Source organism: Homo sapiens, chromosome X (assembly GCF_000001405.40).
Source record: "Homo sapiens chromosome X, GRCh38.p14 Primary Assembly".
Taxonomy (NCBI): Eukaryota; Metazoa; Chordata; class Mammalia; order Primates; family Hominidae; genus Homo; species Homo sapiens.
In genome coordinates, this window is record NC_000023.11 from 7,027,591 (window position 1) to 7,054,325 (window position 26,735).

Sequence of the window (26,735 nt, forward strand, 5' to 3'; positions counted from 1 at the left end):
AGAGAATTATATATATATGAGAATATAGAGAATATATGTAAAGGAGAATACATATAAAGAGAATATATAATATATATAGAATATATCCTATATATTTAGAATATATAGAATATAGTTATTCTATTTATATAGACTACATTATAGTCTATATATAGACTATATATATAGAATATATTATTTTCTATATATAGACTATATATATAGAATATATTATTTTCTATATATAGACTATAGAATATACTATATTCTATATATAGACTATATATAGACTATATATATAGAATATATTATTTTCTATATATAGACTATATATAGACTATATTTTTCTATATAGTTTATATAGACTATATATAGACTATATTATTCTATATATATTTTATATAAAGTTTATATACTGTCTATATATTGTCTAGACTATATTATTCTATATATAGTTTATATATAGAATGATATTGTCTATATATTGTCCTAGCAAACTCATAGACTTTATTATTGTTTGATATATAGTCTAGTACAGATAGACAATATTATCATTCAATAAAAATATATAGATATATATAATAGATACATAGTCTAGACTATATAACAAATGATAATATAGTCTTTCTGTACTACTATATATAGTCTATATATTGTAAGGAGGAAGATAATGGCTCATTTTTTATCCAGGGTGAGACTCATAAACATGTATTACTGAGTACAGATATCTCAATAGAGACAAGAAAATTCAAATTACTGGCAAGGTACTGTACATAATTGTATCCAAAAAAATCGGGCTATTTTGCATCCTAGCCAAGTTACCCTGCCCAGTCACAAGATCACACAGGCCAAGTCACGTGATCACTAAAGCTGGCATGAGAGGCCCCGACTCATCCAGGGAGTAAGAGAGTGAAGTCAGCAGTGGGAATGTGGGAGCAGCTGGTCTGTGTAAAGATGTTCTGGGGAAAAACTGGGTCAGGCTTGGAAGACAAGGGAAGCGGTACCAGAGAAATAAGCTTGACTGGAACGAGGCAGCAACAGAGGCATTAATGCAGCTCAGTTCTAGAGTTATGGGAACTAAAAGGTACTCCGCTTGGCCAGCCACCAGATGAAATGGGTAAAAAGGGCTGCTTGAAATGTACAAACCACGTGACTGGGAAGATTTCATAAGCATCTATCTGCATGGGTTTGCCCGGACTGACATAACAAAGCGCCACGGACCGGGCCGCTTACCACAGACATTGATTCTCTTGCAGTCCTGGAGGCTGGAAATCTGAGACAAGGTGTGAGCGGGGCTGGTTCCTCCTGAGGCCTCTCTCCTGGGCTTGGAGATGCTGTCTTCTCCCTGTGTCCTCACATGGTGTTCCCTCTCTGTGTAGGTCTATGTCCTCATCTCCTCTTCTTATAAGGACACCAGACCTGTTGGATTAGGGCCCACTCTAGTGACCTTGTTTTACCTTAATCCAATCTTGTCCATTCTGCAGCCCTAGGGCCACATGCAGCCCAGGACAGCTTTGAATGTTGCCCAACACAAATTCGTACTTTTTTAAAACATGAGATTTAAACACGGACCTGTTTTTTCACTCATCAGCTATTGTTAGTGTATTTTATGTTTGGCCCACAACAATTCTTCTTCTTCCAATGTGGCCCAGGGAAGCCAAAAGATTGGACTCCGTTGCCTTAATCACTCCTTTAAAGGCCCTACCTGCAAATACAGTCACATTCTGAGGTCCTGGGGGCTAGGACTTCAATGTATGGATTGGGTGAGGGGGCCTCGACTCAGCTCATGACAAAATACTTCTAATGGTGGTTCTCAGTCTTTATTTTGAGGAAAGTGGTCGCTTAAATAACGACATATGGAAAAGATACAATTTAAGTAATAGAGACTTCCCAGGCAAACCCCATGTAGGGGGAGGAATCGAACATATCAAGGGCATTCCCCAAGTCCAAGGTGATAGAGGTGAGAAATGCTCACTTATTAGTGCCAATTTCAATCTCCTGATAGATTTTCATTTAGTATGCTGTAAAAGAAAATATCCCTGCAGACACTGGCACTTGAGGGATTACAGTGGTGGGGAGAAATTCCCTTATTTATTTGTGGAATTCTATGAAGCATTTCACAGGCCACCTTCTGGGGATAACCTGTTCATTGCCATGGAGTAAATCAATAGCCTTCATTTAGATTCTTAATTGGCAATTTAATCTCATTCACTTTACCCAACACTCATTGGCTGGAGGGATGATGGAGATTGGGAGCAGGCTCCTAAAAAGGGTCTTGAAAATGTTATTTCAACAAAGATTAATTTTGAGGCATTGAGAGTTTCAGAAAGGTTCACATTTTTTTTCTAAAGCTCTTCTAAGCCAATCTTAAATGAATCCTCAGAGGACTATTTCTGTGGGTGTGTGTCTGCTTGCGTGTGTGTGCATGTGTGTGTCTTGCCCCATTCCAATTCTCCATCCCCATGCTGAGGAGGCTGGAGGATTCAGAATGCAGAATCAGGTGTATTTTTTAAAAATCATTATGTCAGTCCTCACCAAAACACTGGCTATTTCTATCTTTCCTTCTCATTTTACTCTGCTATAGGAATCTAAGTAAATCATCTTTAGGAAATACCAAGACCTACCAGGGGCTTTAGATTCATGGCGGCCAACACAACCTAGTATTGATAACCCATGTAAATGTTTGCCATCCAGATGACAAGAATAATGACAAGAGAAAACTAACATGACCTGCCCCATGGTGTGCTAGATCCACATCTCTCGGGGAATGTTTTGAAGCAAGTTAATACAAGCTACTTGATAAAAGGCTTCCGCGATGGAATGAGATTGGGGAAGCTGAGTTAAACAAAACCAGTGTTCTGTGTTGGATGCTTCTCAAATCCTTAACCATGCTGAAAAGCTTAGAGTATTTCCAGGAGAATGGCATAGCACCCCACATCCCAGACCTGCACAGCCCCTGCTCAGGTCATCTTGTGGGATGAACAGTATGCAAAACACACATCCCAGAACATGCTTGGAGACAGGGGAGGCCACTCTCTAGCCTGGGAACAGTTCTGGCTCTGGCACACACTGACAAGGTGACACTGGGTGACTCATTTAGTCCCTCTGTAAACTGCCCTTCCTCATATGCAAGAGGCCATGGAATGTTGGCCTCTCAGACGTTACTGGCTCTAACATTATTTTGCCAAAAATAAAATAATTAGGGTGGATGTGTTATAGGAAAGGGGTCCAGATCCAGACCCCAAGAGAGGGTTCTTGGATCTTGCCAAGAAAGAATTCAGGTCGAGTCCATAAAGTGAAAGCAAGTTTATTAAGAAAGTAAAGGAATAAAAGAATGGCTACTCCATAGACAGAGCAGTCCCAAGGGCTGCTGCTTGCCCATTTTATGGTTATTTCTTGACGATATGCTAAACGAGGGGTTGATTATTCATGCCTCCCCTTTTTAGTCCATATAGGGTAACTTCCTGATGTTGCCATGGCATTTGTAAACTGTCATGGCGCTGGTGGGAAGGTAGTAGTGAGGATGACTAGAGGTCACTCTTGTTGTCATCTTGGTTTTGGTGGAGTTTCACTGGCTTCTGTGCAACCTGTTTTATCAGCAAGGTCTTTATGACCTGTATCTTGTGCCGACCTCCTGTCTCATCCTGTGACTTAGAATGCCTTAACTGTCTGGGAATGCAGCCCAGTAGGTCTCAGCCTCATTTTACTCAGCCTTTATTCAAGATGGAGTTGCTCTTGTTCAAATGTCTCTGACAGATGTAATAGGTAACGCTCAGACACTGGCATCAGAGGCAATGCAACCTGAACAGAATTGGCTGACATGTATCTCTGGGTATAAAGAAAGTCTCAGCTTTCCCCTGAGACGTAATGATGATTGTCCCTAAAGCTTGCTTCACCCTTCCACGCTAAACTCGCTCCACTGCTCCATCATCTGCTTTAAAGCCACAAGGACAGCCAGTTAGGTCTTTGTCATCATCACTTTTAACTTTTGTTTAACTTTTAACAAAGATTGGCCTTTTTAAAGGCTCAATTATATTTTAAAAAACAAACAAACAAACAAACAAACTGCCACTTACGCAGTCCATTGATTTTAAACAAAGCTGGCAATGCAAGTCAATGGGAAAATAATAGTCTTTTTCAACACATGGAATTGGAAAAACTGGATACCTATATGTATAAAAATGAACTTTGATCCCTTACCCCATACTCTGCACAAGCATTAAATTAAGATTAACTGAGATTTGACCTGAACGTAAAATCTAAAATTGCGAAGCTTTTACAATAAAACAAAGGTAGACAAAGACTCCTTCTACAAATACCTGGCACTAAACATTAAAAAATCATAAATTGTGCTTCATCAAAAATACATCTGCTCTTCAAGATAGATGAAAAGGCAATTCACTGACTTTGAGACCAAGTATTTGTGTTCAGAATATGTAAAGGAATTCTAAAACTCAACATAAAAAGACAAAAATAAAACAAAAACACATGCAAAAAATAAAAAAACAAAAAATGAGCAAATTATTTGGACAAAAAGTTCCCAAAAAAGGAAATGCAAATAGCTAGCAATCACATGAAAAGATGCTCAATATTATTAGTTATCAAGGAAATAAAAAGTAAAACCATAAGATACTCATACCCATTAGAATGGCTACAGTTAAAACGACTGACAATACTAAGTTTTGATGAGGATGTGGAGCAATTGGAATGCTCATGTATTGAGGTGAGAATATAAAATGGCGCAACCACTTTTAATAACTACCCTATGGCTCAACAATTCCACTTATAGATATACACCAAAGAGATATGAAAGCATATATTCATCCACACAAAGACCTGTACACAGATATTCATTGTAGCATTATTCATGATAACTTCAAATGGAGCAGAACCCAAATGCTTATCAAAGGATGAATGGATAAACATACTGTTACATATTCATATAATGACATACTACTAACAGATAAAAAAAGGAATAACTATTGTTACCTGCAACGGAAACACATATAAATCTCAGAAATAGTATGTTGTTAAATAGGCCAGATACAAAATAGAATATGTTGCATGATTCCATTTATATAAAGTTCTAGAAGAGGCAACATGAAAGCCATGGTAATAAGAACAGCAGTTGCCTGAAGTTTTGGGGGTTGGTGATATGAGGAAATTTTCTGGAGTGATGGAAATATTCTATATCTTTATTAGGATGATGTTTTCACAGGTGAATATATTTGTGTAAACTCATCAGAATATATAAAAAGATCCTACAACTCAAAATAAAATTTTAAAAAAACCACAAAAAGTTATTGTGATGGTTAATATTGAGTGTCAACTTGATTGGATTGAAAGGATGTAAGTATTGCTCCTGGGTGTGTCTATGAGGGTATTGTCAAAGGAGATTAATATTTGAGTCAGTGGACTGGGAGAGGCAGCCTCTTCCTCAATTTGGGTGTGCACCATCTAATCAGCTGCCAGCGTGGTAGGATAAAAGCAGGCAGAGGAACGTGAAAGGACTAGACTGGTTTAGTCTACTGGCCTACATCTTTCTCCCAGCTGGATGCTTCCTGCCCTCAAAAATCAGACTCCAAGTTCTTCAACTTTGGGAGTCAGACCTTGGAATACAGACTGAAGGCTGCACTGTTGGCTTCCCTACTTTTGAGGCTTTGGGATTGGACTGACTTCCTGGATCCTCAGCTTGCAGATGGCCTATTGTGGGACCTCACCTTGTGACCATGTGAGTCAATGCTCCTTAATAAACTCCCCTTTATATATACATCTATCCTACTACTTCTGTCCCTCTAGAGAACCTTGAGTAATGCAGTTATGCATTTTTATTAAATGTAAATTATGCCTTAATTAAAAATAAATATCTTCTCAACCTCCAAAAGGAGACTTTCTGTCTGAAACTTGAGAATAAGTCTAAAGTTTTCATTTAATAATGAATTTGTAAAAGACAGGAAAATTGATTTTGGCATTAATTTGTTCAACAAATATCTGTTGAGCATGTCCTATGTGGCAGTGGCTGAGTGTAGGGTGTGGAGTGGGTGAATGTAAGGAACATATAGTTCCTGGCTCCCTAGAGCTCATGGTCTAGGGGTTGGAGAGAATTGGTACATTGGGATTTTAAAGGGGGTGCCAAAGGTGGTGATGACAAAGCTCAGGGAAGAACAACTGGAGTGGAGGGAGGGCATCAACATGGATGCTGAACCAAGCCAATGTACTGCTAAGAGTGAGGTGGAAAGTATCATGCGAACCCCAGAGCTTCAATTGTCAATACATATTGGGGTGTGACCAGTAGATTGATAGAAGACAGCAAAGAGAGAGGCGTAAATGCCAATACAGCACAATAGCATGAGTTGTCAAGAGACAGGACTTTTCAAGGTGAAAGGAAGGGAGATGGTACTGAAGCAGCAGTCATGTCTATGACCCACCCAAGCCCTAAGCGATGACAGATAGGAACAGAGTCAGGGTCCTCAGAGGACAACCTAGTTTTAACTAAGGCAAGAAGTTGAAAAGAATATTTTAAGAAACATTTGAGGACATATTATAGTTTGCTGGCTATGGGGTAGGGTAGGGTGGAAGAGAGAGATTTGGAATAAAGGGTATGGATGGGACAAGACAAAGCAGGGCACCAGCCCTACCTTGGACCTTTCCTTAACTTGAGAAAGCTATGTCCATGTTGATTCAGCCAATCTGACTCAGGTATTATGTAACTTGAAGTTGAACCATCCCAACTGATATAAGTGGTGATACTGAGTAACACAAATGTGCTTTCTGGATTCACACATGCATTTTTTTTACATGAAAAGTTCAAACTTCTATGTGGACATTTTTTTCAACAGTATCCTCAAGAAGTATTCATCATGCAACTCTTTCTAGGAAAGGTATTTAAAAAAGAAGAAAAATGTCATTTCTGGCCTGGAATGTCAAGACATACATCTCTTAGAGATTTAGTTCTAATTATTATTGTAGAGTCTTGTGGGTATTTCTTATAATTTTAATTTTTACAAAAAACAAATCTGTTCATCCATGCATCTATGTATGTATGTATATATGTATGTATCTATCTTCATCATCATCATAATTATCCATCTATGATCTATCTATTGTGTATCTATCTAATAATCTATCTATGCAGAACTGCAAAATTTACAGGACTGGCCCATACCGCCCTCTGCTCCCCACTTTGTCTAATCTTCAAAATCAAGTTTCTGGACACAGGGCTATGAAATGCAAAATGAAACAGCTCATGTCCAATGGTCTGACAATCTGCTGCTCATGAAAACCTGAAACATCCAACTGAGTTTTTCATAAACATCAGCAGGTCTAGTTCTCTATCTTCAAAGAGAGTTATTTTTAATTTTATTAGGGGATACATTCTTTTTTTATAAAGAAATTATTAGGTATCAAAACACCACAATCTCTTTATGGATTCAACTAGATTATGTGTATGGGCAAAGTATTTTCAAGTTAAGAATAACATTCCTGTTCCTTGAACACTATTTTGAAAGTTTGGATTAAGGGATATTAACTTCCTTAAGACAAAACAGACTCACAGTTGAAAACCACCCACCTTCTGTATAGAAGTTGCTTAATTAATATCAATGATTTTTATTGTATTGGAACAAAATAGACTATAACTTTTTATACGATATATATGGGTTTATTACTAAATATTCTTAAAATGAATATAATGCTATAATATTCTTATTTTGAGGTAATATATACATAGTCTGCAAAAATTAGGTTTCCTGGTGTCATTAACCACTTATGCAATTATTTTTCTGAAATGAATACACATGCTGTACATGCAGTTTTGCCTGATATAAGTTTTAAAACAATGTATATTGGAATCTTGGAACTAAAAATGAGAAAATCAGTGTCCCCTTGATGTCAATTTCAGTTTCAACTGCACTTGCTATTTTATTTTTAATTGGTTACATTATCTCTACATTGTCACAGTTGATGGTATTTGTTTTCTTCTCTGGGACCATAATTTCCACAGATTTAACCATAATGCATCCTTAAAGATTACAAGAAATCTTTTAGACACAGCTCCTCTCAGTTGCTGAGGATCCAGCCTTTACTCATTTGTTTTCTTCATGAATATATATTTCCTGAGTTGTATGTTTGTACATAGCTATTTGTAGCCTTTGAAGTTTATGGAAGTTTGTTTGGTTGCATTCTTGGGGCACATTTTCTTTCCCTGAGGACTGTTAAGGTTTGGATATTTGATCCTTCCAAAGCTCATGTTGAAATTTAGTCCCCAATATTGGAGGCTGGGCCTAATAGAAGCTGTTTGGGTCATGGGGACAGATCCCTCCCATTGAATAGATTAATGTCCTCTCCTGATGGTGAATGAATTCTTCCTCTATTAGTTCCTGCAAGACCTGGTTGTTAAAAGAGCGGGCCACCTCCCCGGTTTCTCTCTTGCTTCCTCGCTCATGTAATCTCTGCACATGCTGGCTTCCCCTCCTCTTCTGCCATGAGTGGGAGCAGGCTGTGGCCATCACCAGACAAAGATGCCCAATTTTGAACTTTCCAGCCACCAGAATCATAAGCCAAATCATCCCTTTTCCTTTATAAATTATCCAGCCTCAGGTATTCTTTATAGCAACACAAAAGGGACAAGGACTTTTTATATCTTGCCCCACTGTCTTCTAGCATTTCATGTGTCACATAAAGAAATCTTAGCCTCCTAGGTTTTTGTTTTTTTTGAATATCCACAGAATTCTTTCCATAACTTCAAATACCAGGAATTTATTGGGATATTTGTTAATTATTCAATATAAACACAGCCTTGTAATTCTTGGGCTATTTCTGTCTGCAGATTCAAATTTCATTGTATTTCAGGAATTTCACCTTGAATTGTATCTTTGAAAATTTGTTTTCATGTTCCATTCATTTTTTAACCCATGCAAGGCATTTAGTGTTATAGATATTTGATCTCTTCCCTACCACCCCCTCCCATCCCCCTCTTTTTCTCTATCTCTGTCTTCCATCTTTTACTTTTTGTTCTTTTCCATCTCACATGCTCATTTTTTCTTCTCAAAACCATCCTTCAAATTCTTTCAGTGGTGTCTCATCTCCTTTTTGCTGCTTCTATCATGACCTTTGATTTTGGTCTCTTTTTGTGTCTCTCTCTCTGAGATTCTGAGGCTCTGCCTATTCCGTTTTTATTCTCATTTGTTTCTAATTTGTTTCCAAGACTCTGTCTGCTCCCTTTTCATTCTCATTTATTAGTAATTTATTTCTGAGGCTTTACCCACTCACTTTTCATTCCCGTCTAACCTAATGTATTATCAGTTCTTCCTTAAAGCCTTATATTGCTTCTTTAAATTCTCATTTCAGAGAAACAATATTGTCTTTAATTGATTCCTTAGAAATAACTTTGTTCACGGTTTTTGGCTGCGTTGTGGTATACAATCTTTCCGGTTCTCATCTTCATAAATCATGTTCTGTTCTTCTTTTTTCATTTCAGCATCATTTTAAAGGCCCCCGGCTGGCTCCACCCTTTTTAAGTAGCACTGTTCCTCATCTTTTTGGACTAGAATTTTGGGCAAAGTTCTGGGGAAAGGGGAAGAGGAATGTGCTAAACAAATGGGAAGATTGGTTTCAGTCTGTTATCTCTGGGATTTTTCTCAGCTGGACTTGGCCTGTGGGTTATCTGGTCCAGCATAGCAGGACATCTTCCAGGCTCACAAGGAGGCTGTGCATTTTACAGAACATTTTAATGTGATTATTTTACCTTGACTTATCTTCACCAGGCAGCTTTGGGCAAAGATGGCCAGGTAGCTTTTATCTTATTGACTCTTCCTTCTATCCTATGCCATGATTGAAACATGATGTAGGCTTCCAAAACCAGGACATGAACCTTGATCTTAACTTTCTAAGCATGGGATAAACACATTTCCTTTCAATGTGTGCCACCCAACCACTTTGGATAACTATGAACTGGGTCCACTCTGCCTGAGTCACACATAGACAGACACCTTCTCTTGGAGTTCCCAAATACCTCCATCCACTTTTCATACACTTGGCTATCTTCCTGCATCTACTGTGATCCAGGGTTATAGGGGATCTGTAGCTTCATCAAAGATAACATTTGTTTGTTTCTTATTCTCTTGTTTGCTTTGGATTGGTTTCATAAAGGAAATGAGACAAAAATATACTTATACTACCATTTGAAAAGAAAAGATAAATTCCTTCTTTCAAATTCATTCCTTTTTTTTTCTTTCCAATGAATCTCATGGGGTGAGGGGAGGACTGAAGAGAATGTCTAATCTACTCAAATCCAAAAAGTCACAGGTATAAGGCACAGAAAATTTTACCAGTATAATGATGGCAGTTTTAATGCTATATAAGGACAGACTATGCAAAAATGCTGTTAATGAGGATGAGGAGCTACAGAACAAACCTGATGAGGAACTGTAATTCTATGAGAATGATGTATATAGCCATCATTTTTTTTCTTTAATCCAAAACAATTAGATTGCTTATATAGACAGCCACATTCAATTCTAAGCTATTTGATTGAAATGCACCAGAGGATGCAGATATATATATATCCTTTTACCTTAATTTCCATTTTATTCTTTCCCTCCCATTTTATCTGTGCTATAGAGTACATTTTTCCCACTTGAGCTCAACATGCTGTTGTGCAGAAAGCCTTCTCTTGGGAGTTCCCAAAATGTTGGCCCAGATGAGTGGAGCAGACATTTGGCCCAGGTGAGCATAGCACATATTTACATGAAATATTAGGGAGCATCCATCTGGGCTATGTGACGTAGGCTGGCAATACACGAAAGAGGATTCTGATTTGTTGTATAAATCACCTTCAGAGCCCCCAACAGTGAACACATAGGGGGTTCTTTTCATTTTCATGATGCTTAATATAATCCTTAAAAATAATTAAAATTAGGTGAAGTGTGTAGATTTCTGAGAGATTACAGAAAGACACTAGTTTTGATACCTCTTGCTTGTAGCATTTGACTGATGTAAACAAACTAAAAGGTTTAAAAAGAACAGGGATTCTTCCCAGTAGTATAGTGCAATGGGTAGGGAAAAAAAGCTCAAAATTGATAAATAGACCAATATTATTCTCAAAACTCATACCATTGTGATTGGGAAGAAATTAATACATATTACTTAGTCACTTCATGTTACTATATACTTCTATTAAAACAGCAAAAAGGAAATTATAGGAAAAAAGTCATACATTTAAAGGATGGAAGAAAATCCTAGGTTTACTCAGAGCTCAAGATCCCATTGGGATGAATATCGTTCTTTCCTCGGATTGTTCCTTCATTTCATTCATTCACTTATGTATGCATTTATTTATTTAGAGATGGGGTCTATTTCTGTATTTATTTATTTATTGATTGATGGAGTATTGCTCTGTTGCCCAGGCTGGAGTATAGTGGCACAATCATAGCTCACTGCAGCCTTGAACTCCTGGGCTCAAGTGATGCTCCTGCATCAGCCTCCTGAGTAGCTGGGACTACAGGTGTTTGCCACCATGCCCCGCTAATTTTTAAGTTTTTTTGTATTGATTGGGTCTCCCTATGTTGCCCAGGCTGACCTTAAACTTTTCAGCTCAGCGATCTTCTGCCCTGGCCTCCCAAAGTGCTGGGATTACAGGTGTGTCCCTTCATTTCTAATGAAGGAAGGTTTTCCTTTGAATATCTCACAACAGATATTTTTAAAAGAAAGGCAGATTTGAAGCAACCATCAACAAGGTTTATTTGAAAATTAATCTGATATTTACAAGTGCATTATATAACAGAAATGTTACAGACTGAATTGTGCCACGCCTACCCCAAAACTCTTATGTTGAAATCCTAACACCCAGTACCCGGAATGTGATTGTATTTGGAGATGGGTCATTAAGGAGGAAATTAAAGTAAAATGAGGTCACATGGGTGGGCCCTAATCCAATAGGACTGGTTTCCTTACAAGAAGAGGAGATGAGGACACAGACACACACAGAGAGATGACCCTGTGAGGATGCAGGGAGAAGACACCACCTACAAGCCCAGGAGAGAGGCCTCAGGAGGCACCATCCCTGCTGACACCTTGATCTCAGACCTCTAGCTTCTAGAACTGTAAGAACAATTTCTTCTGTTTAAGCATTCCCATATGTGGGACTTTGTTATGGCTGCCCAAGAAGCCTAATGGGAGTGCAAAGACTTTCTTTAAATAATGTATAACAATGTTGGTTTGGAAATGACTATCCAGTGTTGAGTTCAAAACTTTATCTTTATAGGTGCTGCTATGAGTAAGTGTCTAATTTGGGGGCATAATATTGACATTCTTCGGGAGAAATGCAGACTCCAATCAGTGCAGAAAATGGCACAGAATGTTTAAAAATGCCCTCCAGGCCATAACATGGTTGGGTTAGGAGGAGGAATACTAACCATTCCAATCCTAAAACAGAATTTTGGGTTTCTTTCTGTGAGTTCACCACCTCTGACCTTCACAGGTAAGGGACCATCACACAGACATCTGCCATTTTCATATAACTCTCTATCCAAACAAAGGCTGAAAATTCAGCATGGAAGAACTCTCCCAGCACCCGTGGTCAGCCCCTTGGCCTGCATCCCCACCCTGGGCACTGGTGTGGGGGTGGGATTCTTTATGAACTTGGGCCCCAATTCTGCTTCCCCTGGAAAGCTGGACCCACACAACATCACCCTCATATGCAGACCCTCATGTCTGGGCACCTGTGCCTACCCGGAGCTGGGGGTCTGCTCTAGGAGCTGGTTCAGGACAGGTTACTCCCATCCAATCTGTGCCCACCACAGAAAAGAGCCAGCCAAGTGCCTGCTACTGCAGGGCTCTTCACACATGGAAAAGCTGCCCTGGGGAAGTGTCCCAGGAAAGGGCAGGGGGACAAAAAACAGTCACAGTGATTTGCCTCCAGACACTGGACACTCTTCCCTGGAGAGTACAGGGATGCTCCTCTCCAAACCTGATCTTGCTACATTTGTGCTGCCCACAGTAGGGGCGCCACTGAGTTTTCAAAGAAGACAGCAGGCCCTGAATTGTGCAAGGAAAATAAGTGCTTGAATTTTGTAGAATGCATGCAGCGTTCTACTTTTAAGAATGGTACTGGGCTCCTCTGATATTCAAGAAAGGCCCCCGACAGCTCAGATGGTAGTTTCCTAATCCTGTCTTCCCACATGCACATTTACCTCCTCCACCCAAGAACTGAGTAACAGACATGAGTGCTCGGGACATCATGCTGTCTACTGTCATCCCCTTCCTAAGACCCCCTCTCCCCATCTCTTGACACCCCTGTTCTTAGCTCCCTCTTTCTTTCTGGCCTGTTACACTCAACCTCTCCAGCGTCCTAACAAGTACCCACTCAAACCTACTTCCTCTCCTGCTGTGCTTCTTCTTCAAAAGTACTTTGCTTCTCATCCTCCCCTTCTTTCCTTGCCCTCTTCCCTGCTTCCCTCTTCAAAGCACTTCTCAGCTACAAATGAGAAGGAAGCGATCTGATTAAACAGGCGATGAGCAGAGTCATGTTCTGAGGGGATTTGCATTTTTAAAAGGAGATTAATGACGACGTCTCACAATGTCACCCTGGAATCTTATGCAGAGTGACAGGGGAGTGGGGATGAGCTCCGTTCAGGGCAGGAAGCGAGAGTTTGGATCTGAAGTACTTTTCAAATGCTGAAGTCATAGGAGCTTGCAGTTGCTTCCTGGGCGGGGCCATAAACAAACATCTCTTCTGCTGAGTGGGGTCTGAGAAGATAGAGGGAACGGTGACCCAGGAGCTCTGGAATTATCTGGCTGTGTTACATTTGCAGGACTGCACAAATTTAAGTGAAAAAAACATGCTTTTCGTCCACCTGGCTGGCCTCTTAGCCTGCTCTCCTCTTACTGTTCCCTCGAAGGCATCATTTTTTGAAAGAGAAATTTAAACTCTGTCCATCTCATCCCCTTTGGAAGAAAGTTAAGATTCCTTTCTGAGCTCTTTCATCATCTGGAGTTTAAAAGCTTCCCCTCCTCTGTCAACTCTCTTTGAATCCCTCATGTCACAGCAAACTTCAAAAGAGACAAATACTTTTGCATGACTCCCTGCAAGCTCCGTTTTGACCTGTAGTGACAGACCCATGTCTTGGCTTTCCTGATTGGAAAAACTTCTCAAGCTTTCTGCATTCATGATCTCTGCTTCTTCAGTGCAACCTTCTCCAGTTTGTCTCTGATCTCCAATGGTCCCTGCATTAATCCTGTCCAAGCCACAGGTGACCCTCATATCATCTCAGCTTCTACTTCCCAGTCTCTCTCTCTCTCTTTTTTTTTTTTTTGAGACAGGGGTCTCACTCTGTTGCCCAGGTTGGTCTCAAACTGTTGGGCTCAAAAGATCCTCCGGCCTCATCTTCCTGAGTAGCTGGTAGGGGTGTGAGCCCTTCTGCTTGGTCTCCAGTCCTTTGCTTTTCCTTTTTGACCTGTACAACATTTGGTGGTTGACGTCCATGTTCATGTAATTGTCTTCTCTGGTTTGTCGGGGCCACCATGCATTCCCTTCTCCCTCTTTTCATTTATTATCTTTTCATCTAGTAAGACCCATCTTCCCCTAAAGATGTATATCTTCCTCAAGGCAAAGATTGGCTTACCTTCACAAACTGAGTCTCCAATGACAACATAAACTGAAATGCAATATAAATCATGGACAGAAGTGAGCTCATCTTCTACTTCCTGTGTCCTCTGCTGGTTCTTCTCACCAACGTCACGTATTGCTAAGTAAGCGAGTGATGTTAAGTTAGAAAATGGACTGAGTCCATTAATTCATTTGGCATGCTCCAAAGTCCTCACCTGAGATCTATCTACTCTCCAAATTACACTTGTTAGAAATACAGGAAGATCCTTTTCACATGAGCTAATTAGGGTGAATACAAGTAAGTGTTGGTAAGAAGTACTAGAAACACTGGAATTTGTGAGATTTCATTGAAGAACCAACTTCCACCCAGCCCTTCACATTGTTCTCTTTTGGTAGTTTCTTGTCATTTCCTCCTTTTGTTATCAATAGAGCTGCTGTGAACATGCATGTACAAGTTTCTGGGTGGACATATGTTTTCATTTTTTGGGGGGGGTAGACATCAAAGAGTAGAATTGCTGGGTTGTATGATGAATCTGTGTTCTAATTTTTCAGAAACTGGACTTCTACTGCTTCCTGATTTCACCTTCCATGCCATTTCTGCAGTGAGGCCCACTCCTTGGCCTTACAAGACCTGAATTAAGTTAGGTGCCCAGAGCCGTTCTGTCATTGACTCTGTTCTTTCCCTTGCTAGCCTGTGTAATAATTGGCAATCAGACCTTTAAGTGAGCAGTGGTTTCATATGTCTCCCCAACTATATTACAAGTTCCACGGGGGCAGGGCTATGTCTATCTCCTTGACCTCTGTATTTGCGATGCCTGGCAGAGGGCTGTGAACACCGGCCACCCTCCATAAACAGTGGGAGACAAACAAGGGAGTCAGTAGAGTTAGTTTTTGCTTTTTTACCCCCAGAACTCTTAGAATATGATTTGAGCTATTCCTTCAAGAAGTCCTGGGGCAGGTGATCATTCACAGATGACATGAGGGAGTGCACAGCACGTGAGTTTACAGGAAAATGCAAAACCCACGTTGAAATTTGATCCCCAATGTTGGAGATGGGGATTTATAGGGGGGTGTTTGGGTCATGGAGGCAGATCCCTCATGAATGGCTTGGTGCTGCCCTCATGGTAATGAGTGGGTTCTCTATTCAATCCTACAAGAGCTGATTGTTAGAAAGAGCCTGGCACCTTCCTCTCCTCTTTCTCTTGCTTCTTCTCTCTCACCATGTCATCTGTGCACACAGCAGCTCCCCTTCCCGTTCCACCATGAGTGGAAGCTCCCTGAGGCCTCACCAGAAGCAGATGCTGGTGCAATGCTTCTTGTACAGCCTGCAGAACTGTGAGCCAAATAAACCTCTTTTTTTAATAAATTATCCAGCCTCACTCAGGTATTCCTTTATAGCAATGCAAAACTGATTAAGACAGGGTATCAGGAGACCTAGCTTTGCCTGAATCTGAGAACTTCATCAGGACTCTTGGAACAATTTAGCCCACAGGTCCAAGGCTGATTTTTGTCACAGTGAAGTTCAAGTAGTAAGAATTCTCACTGGTGGCTGTTGAGGGTGGTGGTGGTGGGGATGGGTTATATGGAGAATTAGCAGTGGGAGACAAGAAATTAAAGTGGAGAAAGGGAAGAATTAAAAGTCAAAAACAGTGTGAGGGAGGAAAGCAATGGATATAACACCTCGGATCTTTATCCTTGAGAGGCCTTAAAAAATCTACTTAATAATAATCAGATGCTATTCTATAAGAACTTTGAGACTAGACATGTGATGACTTTTAGGAACCTGCACTGTGGCTGAAAATGCATGCAAATCTAACTGACTCAGATCCAGTCTTAACTGGCTCATAACTTGCTTCATAAACATGACTGTATGTTAGCAAGGAAATGAGAGAGAATAACAGCACATCACATAGGCATGAAAAGTATTTGCAAAGCAGCAGTTCTCAAAAATGACATTTTGCAGTGTTTTCCAGAAGCAGATTCAGAAAACTGAAGACCAAAGTAATGAGGGAGCCGTTTCATGCCTAGATGAGCAGAAGCATACCAAAGGCTTAGTATTTCCCCAAGTAGTAGGCATCTCAAACTTATTTAAGGAAAATACTCTTGATGAAACAGATACTGCAGTTGAAGCAGGAATGTGTTTGGTGTGCTGCCTTAAATAGCATGGGTAGATGTTCAAACATGTTAGGACTCACTGGCCCTAGGAAAGACCCGCAAGTATCTGGTCTACACCAGGAAAGTGACAATGAAACACCAAACACCTTTTCTCCTCTAATTACCAAGAAAAGTATTTCTTTCCCAATGGTTGAAGACAATAATGTTGGGAATGATGAAGTTTTCTGGAGTGTGAAGTGGATATGTCTTATAAGTTTAATCCATAGCTTCACCACTTCATAAGTGGATAATCGAATTGTGCCCCAGTTTCCTCAGACTTGGGGATATTAAGAGTACCCTCAGTCACCACAAGGTGGGTACCAACATAAGAAAAGAGTGTAGCAAAAGCCCAGGGGCGCATGTTCTTAAAGTGCCTAGTGTGGGATTAGAATGACAAGTGGTAGGTGACCTACTTGTGCAGAAATTTAGAGTTATTTTGTCATTTTCAAATGATCATCAGCATATGAGAATACTTTATACTAACTGTTTCCTGTGAGTTTTCCCTATTTCAGCAACTATCTCGTCTGTGCCTTTCTTTGCTAGGTAAGCACTTTTCTATTGGTTGGTGGGCTTAGCAGCTCTTGGTTTTGCCTTCATGGGAGACAAATAGCATGCACCCGAGTAGTGGTAAAGGAATGGTACCCTTCAGGGTGTTCTGTCCTGGGCCTGACAGATCCCCTGTGGTTTCGCTCTGTGTCCCCCCCCAAATCTCATCTCAAACTGTAATCCCCACATGGGATTGGTGGGAGGTGACTGGATCATGGGGGTGGTTTCCCCCATGCTGTTCTCATGACAGTGAGGGAGTTCTCATGAGAGCCAATGGTTTTAAGTCTGGCACTTCGCTCTTTCAGTCTCTGTCCTGCTGACTGTGAAGAAGGTACTTGCTTCTCCTTCCAGCATGATTGTAAGTTTCCTGTGGCCTCCCCAGCCACACAAAGCTGTGAGTCAATTAAACCTCTTTCCTTTATAAGTTGCCCAGTCTCAGGCAGTATCTTTTTAGCAGTGTGAAAACAGACCAATACACGCTGGCTTTTGGTTCTCTGGGTTTCCTGGATTTCTGCCCTACTAACATACTTGATTCCTGGCAGTGAGGGGTTGGTCTCCACCTGGCTGGTATCTGCATGCCAGGCTTCTGGTCTAGCTTGCAGTCTAACTCTTTCCAGGTGCATATGCTCAGATTCAAGCTCCCCAGTCGTCCCCTTGTCCTCTTGGCTGGTGGCATAACCCATGCCTGGGCATGACTTCCTGCTTATATGGACTGCTTGGAGTTTGCTTTTTTTCTGTTTGGTTGTGTGGAAGTGACCCTAAGAGATGAGCCTGGGCATATTCGAAGAGATAATGACTGAGAGGTTTAGCCATACATAAAACAAAGCAGAGCCCCAGGGAAATCTAAAAAGTCCAAACAAGATCAACACAAAGTAAGCCACACCTCAACAGACCAAAGATCAAGAGCAAAACCTGAACGGTAGCTAGAAAAAAAGAGACTGCCTTAAAGGTGTGACTGCAGCACCAAGAGCTGGTTTTTCAATGGAAAACAGGAGTCAGGTAAAAAGAAAGCTACATATTTAAAAGATGAAAAAATATTGCTCTTAAACTGGAATTGAATATGCAGTGAAATGCAGTGAAAACATCCTTGAAAAGAAAGTCAAATACAGACACTGTGAGACAAACAACTGAGATGATTTGCCATCATCGGATCCATATATGTAAACACTAAATGATGTTATTCATTGACTGGAGTTTCTAGAAGAATGATAATTAAAATTGATAGTGAAAATTCTTTTTTGTTTGTATTATGAACTCAATTTGCTCCACCTCCCTCCAATTCCTACACTGAAGCTCATTAACCACCGTAATGTGTCTGTATTTGGAGCTAGGACCTGTAAGGAGGTAATTAAGGTTAAACAAGGTCATTATGGTGGACTCTGATCCAATAGGACTGAACTCCTTGTAAGAAGAGGAGATGAGGACACAGACACATACACAGAAGGACAACCATGTGAGGACACAGGGAGAAGACAGTGTCTACAAGCCAAGGAGAGAGGCCTGAGGAGGAACCAGCCCTGCCCACACCTTGATCTCAGACTTCCAGCTTCTGGAGTGTGAAAGAATAAATGTCTGTTGTTTAAATACTCTAGCCTGAGGTATTTTGTTATGGCAGCTGGAAAAGACTAAGACAGTTCATTTCTGACTTTTAAATGGAATGACTATTTTACCACTATGTACAGTATTAACTGTTGGTTTACAAACAGATAGGTATTCTTTATATTTATCTATTTATTCTCAGTTTATTTTGACTCTGAATATGGAATACTGCCAATTCTTTCCTAAAGTGAATTTTGAAAATACATCATTTTAAGTGACTTTGCCTATGTGAAGGATGAATTCACCATCCCTTTCACACGGTTTTGAAATAAGCAGTGAATGAATATGACTTCATGCTTCCCAAGCCTTCATCTTCGCTCAGAGATTAGGGAATATTAAAATTCTCAAGTAGTTTTTAAAATACATTTTGTCCCCTAGAGAAATAATTATTAACATTTTGGTAAATATTTGAAAATATTTTCATGAAAAAAATTCATTTCATATACCATGTTGTTGAAATTAACGTAGAACTTGAAAATTATGGGCATTTTGCAATGAAGAATATCCAATGCTTTAATACAAGGGTGATAGTTTTACAGTTTCAAAAGGACTCTGTGAGAAGCCCCTGCCATACTGTTGGGAACCAAGGAAAGGGAGGCAACGACTTAATCCTTCACAAACAACTTAGGTCAAAAGATGTACAGAAAAAAATGTAGTTAATTTGAGGAGCAATTAAATCGGAACAGGTAACACAATGATCTCACTGCGAATTCCAACATTTCTCTCTGTCCCTTGTGTTTTCCATGGTGCTGGAAAAAGATCTCGAAACCAACCCCAACATGTCATGACTAAAGTTTAACAGACAAAATACCCTAAGTTATGTTCTTATTCAGTTTTGTACATCTACAATGACTGTCATGTAAGTAAACAGTATTTCCTGAATTAATTCTATCTGGATAACAGTTTTTCTGATGAAAACAATTACAATCCATGGAAATATTGTGTGGCTAATGAAGGAGAAAAAAATAATATTGCTTATGTGTACAAAATATTATCTATTCAAGAGACTCATAAAGAACCAGAATATTTTGAGCCATCCTGAAGATCTGCTTTCAGAGATAACGTGTACTCCTCAGCCAACAAATATTCTCACCAACATCTTCGTAAAGCAAGTCTCTCCAACCAACAATAACCACCAGAGAATACTACAGACTTTGAAATGATACTAATATCCCTTGCTCTTTAACACTTCATTTTCTCTTTTTAGAAGATAATAGTTCTAGAGATTGCTTGTGAGACAAAGAGTCTCATGTGAGACCAAGGAGCTTTAGCCGACTGCTTGTGGAGCAGAAGAGTACAGTGCAGACTACAGAACAATGTTCTGCAGAGGCATTATTACAGATAGGTGAAAACTCATTATTTTTCATTATAAAACTTGTTCTAATGTGCACGTTTTTTAAAATTTTGAAACACCATATAAAATGTGCCAAATTTAGCATAACTGCCAAATGTAATCAAAGAAATATAAACTGCAGTGTCTAGACACTGACTACTGTTGCACAGCAGCATCACTCCTATTCCTTAGAATGCCGATTCTTTCAAGTATAAGACAGGTGTCTTCCAGATTATTTTTTTATATAAAACACCAAACTCCATCTGAGGATTTATGAGGTGGAAAAAAAGTCTAATAAGTAGTAATCAGTAAGTTCTTAAGTGTTGTGTATGTTTCATTTAAGTGAAATTAAGATGACGTTGATAGCGCCATCTCTTGGATGATATCAGCAGTATAACAGGTCCTTCCTAGGGGCACACAATATATAAGCAAACATTAGCTGCTAGTTACAGCACACCTGTATACATTCTACTAATCACTGTGTGTCCCTAATACGACATACTTTCAATGAGCTATGAAAGTATAATTACTCTTTAAACTTCCTTGGCATGTATCACTCTAGTGTAAATTTGTATTACCATATCTCTGTGAAATCCATGAGCTATTCAATGGAGTAACATCACTAAAATGTATTGAAGCAATTTGGCTAATGTGGAAGAATAAAAAAGAACGTATGTGCTTTGGCCAAGCATCAGTGTGTGTCCTTTGTCTAAAAATATAAGAATCTGGCAGCAGCTTTGGTTAAAAAACAGTAACGGACATGAGATCAAATTTACCCTGTAGGAAATTCACCCAGATGTAGATGCACATCACTTAGATATGCATTACACCCATTTGTCTTATTCATACAAAATGGCTTAATGATTAGAAAACACCAACATAAATACTTGGGAAGGAGAAGATACTAAATCAAAGAAGTAAGTCTTTCATTGAAAGCCTCTATTCACCACTGCAGGAGCAGGACGGCTCACTTAAAATATATAAATATCCGTTTACAGTTGGAGTACTAATTGGGATTTTTAAAAAATTTAATTAGTCACATATATATTTTACATTTCTTGGAAGACTGTTTTTTTCTTTTTAAGGTAAAATCATGACTCTCATACAAATATCAACATGTGTCAAAAGATTTTATTAAACTAATTCAATTTGTTAGGGAAATGGTAAGATGTTACAACTGGTTAAGAGGAGCATTAAAAGTGCAGACATATATTCAGGCCATCAAGAATGAGGAAATGAATTTGCTAAATTGATGCAACATCAATCAATAGCCAGGGCCTGTCATTCACAGACAATCACTCCACCACACGCACACATACATTCCTACGGTTTGTCCACAACTTCCAGAGCTGAAGAGTAGCTCAAGGACATCAAAGGGCAGAGGCCCCTAGGAAGGGCTGAGCCACAATGAAGCAGTGCTCCTTCACTCCCGATTTCCATGGCTACCACCGTTTTTCTCTGGCAAATCAGAGACGAATTTTAAAGACTGAGTAAATCTATAAAAGCGATTAATCACAGAAGTTCAATGTCTGATAAATTATTCCAAAAGTGTTCCTGGGCACTGAGACTCACCAAGCATACATTCTGAAATCAAATTCTATTTCTATCCAAAAAGTGCAGCCCATCAGTGTTCTTAAAGGAGGCAAATGGTTGTTGTGAGGTAGCAAACATTTTCCAATGCAGGTAAGGATGTAGATACCAGGTAAATGTTACAGTTGTGTTCATACTAACAATAAACTATGGATGACGTGGCACAGAGTCAGTCAATGAGGAAAGATCCAGAGACATTCTGAGGTCACAAAAAGAATTTAAATGTTAGCTAACAAGGAGTGCTCATCAAAAACAGGACTTTCCCACTCAGACTGCAAACCAGGCAGAACTACCATCTCGCTTTATCAGTTGTCATTGCATGTTGACATCAACACTGAGGAGAGTGATGCAGACGATAGATATAAACATATCTACATACATATGCATACATAAAGCATATACTTATATGCATACACAGTTTACATTTCCCAGCCAGTGTTCAGAAAAACTAGAAGAGAGAAGTGATGTTCCATTTTGTCTTGGAAAAGTATATATTTTACATATACATGCATGCATATGTCTACATACATATGCATGTAATGCCTACCTGCATATTACCAAACTGATACACACATGTATATATGGAGGTGTGTGTGTATATACATGTACATTCACTTTATCACATACTCCATCAGCTTGACTTCTGAGATGGTAATTCAAGTTTCATCTTTGTTCTGGGCTTCGTTTCTGTCTCTACTGTATTTTTTGTCTCAACCGTCAAGTCACATTTTATCAACACGTTAGACTGGGACAAACCAACATGGGATGGAAACTCCAATCTCAGGAGGCTAAAATCACAGCGCAGGTTGGGATTGAAGAGTTGCTGATTTCCTTTCCCTTTCCCCCAGCAGTGTGGACCATGAGAGTGGGCTGGGGGCGGAAGACTGAGGCCCTCCCTCTCACTCATAGGAGGGCAAACCAAACAGCTCGGGCTGGAAGTCCTGCAGGGAATTCAGCACCAGGGTGGCCTTTGTTGTCAGATCTCGGCTCAAGTTTCCGTCAGGAACCATGACCACCTGCATCCCAGCTGCCAGGGCCGCCTCCACCCCATTGGGAGCATCTTCAAAGACAAGGCACTGTAGGAAGAAAAAGAAAGTCGAGATGGCCTTTTATGGAACCAGACATGTGGATGAAGTGTTTATTATCGTCGTCACCATTGGCTCTGCAACTGTGCAGAAAGAGACAGAATTACAGTGGGGGCTCCCCAGAGTAGAGATTGTGGTGAGGACAGCATGCTGTTTCTTACTGGCTCCGGGGGTCTCCCCGCCGTGGCTCCTTTAAAGGGGAGAGGTTTCTGTTGCAGCCAAAGCATTGTTGAAATGGAGCGCAGCTGTGTGGTGAGGCAAGATTCTCAGCTTAAAACTTTATTATTTTATTGGGATCATAACAATCTGTTCAATCAATAATTGAACATTCAGAGTGTGAGAGGCAATTGCAAAACTAAAAATCATGCTCTTAAAATATAAAACCACTTCAGAGCTGCTCCTGTTTTATGTACTGTGGTTTGAAAATTAAATGGTTAGAATCTTTTAAGTTAAAAATTCAGTTCCTGTGTGTGCTAGTGTGACGTGACAAATGAGCACGAAAACGTAGTGTGCGTGCATGCTCTCTTTTGGATAATCGCGAAAATCCACTTTATTATTGGGATTACAGACACAACACCATCCAAAACCCGTGGTCTCTTCATTCAGATACCCACATTGAAAATGGGGTGTTTCCTACTGGCAACTGCAAAGATATGGAACCAACCTAAGTGCCCATCCACCAATGAGCGGATAAAGAAAATGAGGCATATATACACCATGGAATACTACTCAGACATAAAAAGGAATGAAATAATGTCTTCTGCAGCAACATGGATGGAGCTGGAGGCCATTATTCTAAGTAACTCAGGAATGGAAATCCAAATATCGTATGCTCTCACTTATAAGTGGAATCTAAGCTATGAGGATGGGAAGCCATAAGAATTCTATATAATGCATTTTGGGGACTAGCGGGGTGAGGAAGAAAAGACTACATACTGGGTACAGTGCACACTGTTCGGTTGACGTGTGTGCTAAAATCTCAGAAATCACTGCTAAAGAACTTATCCATGTAACCAAAAGCCACCTGTACCCTACAGACTATTAAAATAAAAATTAAAATTAAAAAGGAAAAAAATAAAGTACTAAAAGAAAAACCAATACATAAAATGGGGTGTTTGTACACTGCATTTATCAGTGAGCTCCTAAAGGTGCCACCACATTGACAATGTTACAGTAAGTTTCACATGAGGGCTCCCTCCAAAGGAGACACCCCAGAGCCTGCTCCATAGTATAAACAAGCATAATCCACATGTGCTATCTTCATATCACCGACCCTCTCAGGAAGACATACACTTAGGAAGGAAGCTTCTTCCCTGCATTCCTAGAATGGCACACACTTCATGTGAAAACAGATGTACTGATGCTTTTTAACTGAGACTCTGCAGAGGCCCAGACATCTGTAAGGGAAGAGAGGTCCTCGCCATGGCGACCTATGCTGAGGAGTCTCCCCTGCTCTTCTCCACATGTGGCCTAGAACTCCAGGAGTTGTTGAGGTGGGGCCTTTCAGCTCTCCACTCATCTCTTCTTTGTCTCCTTTGTCCCTCTGCATTTTCTTTTTTTTTTTTTGGTGAGACAGAGTCTTGCTCTCTCACCCAGGCTGAAGTGCAGTGGTGCGATCTTGGCTCACTGCAGCCTCTACCTCCCAGGCTCAAGCAATTCTCATGCCTCAGCCTCCCAAGCAGCTGGGACTACAGGCATGCATCACCAAGCCGGCTAATTTTTTTTTGTATTTTTCAGTAGAGACAGGGTTTCACCATGTTGGCCAGGCTGGTCTCCAACTCCTGGACTCAAGTGATCTGCCCGCCTCGGCCTCCCAAAGTGCTGGGATTACAGGTGTGTGCCACCACACCTGGCCCCCTTTGCCTTTCATTATGAAAATGTCCTCTTCGGCTCATCACCAGGTATATAGCAGCGACTCAATGCACTGGTGTCCTGGAAAGGGCTCACGGAAGCCTGATGCCAGGTCTGAAAGAGAAGCTCTGCATTCTTTGGCGTTTTCAGTAGAAAACACTGAAACACACACACAGTCTTAACTACTAGTGGTCTGTGCTGTAGCCAGCACAATGACTTTTTTCTTTTTCCCTCCCTCCCTTTTTCTTTCCATTACCCCATTCTTTCCTTCAATCTGGGGCTAAAATATCATATTAGCCAACTTATCCCAACAGGGCTGAACCCTGGATTAAGTGAGTTAATCCATGTGACAATGGAATGTGAATGCTACCTTACTTTCACAGAGGGAACTTGGTTGGCCCAGCTGTTTCGGTTTGCTTGGAACTGAAGGGTCAGCTGTGGGGCAGGATGTTCCGTGCTACACCCTGGACAGTCCCAGGCAAGCCACAGTAGTCCGTCCCAACACCTCCCTTCCAACAGCCTCTGATGCCCCCTGGTTTCTTTCTCCTGTGAGACACTGGTCACCGTAGGACGCGAGAAGAAATGACTCCACTTAGACTGTCCAAGTTGGTTTTCTCTGTTATCTCATTCAGTGACTACCTGTTCATGATATTTCTGCCCTTGCCTTTTTAAAAGTTATGACTTGATTGTATTCTAAATGCCCTCCACTGTTTTTATCTGGGACCAGAGATAGGCACTTAAATGTCAAATGACATTTCAAAATATCCGTCACCTTCTCCGGGGATTCTGAAGCTTTGTGCAGGGTCCACCTGTGAAATGTGGACTGGGGTAGAGGAAGAGATGGATTATCCCCTGGGGTAACACTGCTTGGCTAAGTTGTGAAAGCAGCTTTTATTCTCTATTTGCGTGAGGCTGCTTCCAAGGAGCAAGACAGGTGTGTGGGACGGGAAATCAGTAGCTGACTGTGGCTGTTCCCAAAGAGATAATGGAAGGCACCCAATACACCTGCACTCACCTAAAGGGGGTCATACAGTTTTGCTGTGTCCCTACTCAAATCTCATCTTGAAATGTAGCTCCCAGAATCCCCACGTGTTGTGGGAGGGACCTGGTGGGAGACAATTGAATCATGGGGGCAGTTTTCCCCATACTATTCTCATGGTAGTGAATAAGTCTCACAAGATCTGATGGTTTTATAAGGGGAAACCCCTTTCGCTTGGCTCTTATTCTCTCTCTTGCCTGCTGCCATGCAAGACATACCTTTCACCTTCTGCCATGATTGTGAGGCCTCCTCATTCATGTGGAACTGTGAGTCCATTAAACCTCTTTTTCTTTGTAATTTACCCAGTCTTGGGTATGTCTTTATCAGCAGTGTGAAAATGGACTAATACAGGGGGTCTGCAGTGGAGGGAAATGCAGGCCCCATGGTGTCCCTTCACACCTGAGAAATCTTTTCAAAGGCAGCCCCTGTTTAAAGGCAACTAAGTGAGGGCTGTGAGTGAGGAGGGAAACTTGCAAGTGTCTGCGGCACTGACAGCAGGAGCAGCTGACACCAGCTCTTGGAGACCTTTTTACTGTTTCTCATGGCTTTCACGTTTTGCTGGTTCCTCTGTGTTCAATTAATCTGTCCTCACCTATTTTTAAGAATAATCCAAAATGGCACTGACATCTGGAATACTACACACAACATGTAAGACAAATGTCGTACATAAAGTAAGGGGGACTCGAATAAGCATGAAGAGTGGCGAAAAGTCAAGGTTGGTAACTGGTTGCTATCACAATCAATCACAATAAGAAGGTGACGTAGGCTGGGCGCAGTGGCTCACACCTGTATTTTGGGAGGCCGAGGTACGCGGATCACTTGAGGTCAGGAGTTCCAGACCAGCCTGGCCAACATGGTAAAATCACATCGCTACCAAAAAATTAAAAAATTAGCCAAGCATGGTGGCGCATGCCTGTATTCCCAGCTACTCTGGAAGCTAAGGCAGGAGAATGG

The 26,735-nt window shown here is 40.5% G+C and overlaps 1 protein-coding gene across 5 annotated transcripts in view; it reads right to left on the bottom strand.

Moving 5' to 3' along the window:
• PUDP (pseudouridine 5'-phosphatase) overlaps positions 1-26,735 on the bottom strand; it is a 442,316-nt gene that overhangs the window by 321,753 nt on the left and 93,828 nt on the right. For 3 of the 5 annotated variants that reach the window (NM_001178136.2, NM_012080.5, NM_001135565.2), the window contains one exon: positions 21,330-22,882. The exons of the other annotated variants lie outside the window; for them this stretch is intronic. In NM_001178136.2, the coding sequence (NP_001171607.1) occupies positions 22,706-22,882 (177 nt within the window). In that variant the 3' untranslated portion in view covers positions 21,330-22,705. Of the gene's footprint in view, positions 1-21,329; positions 22,883-26,735 lie in introns of those variants that run through there. 5 annotated transcript variants of the gene reach the window in all.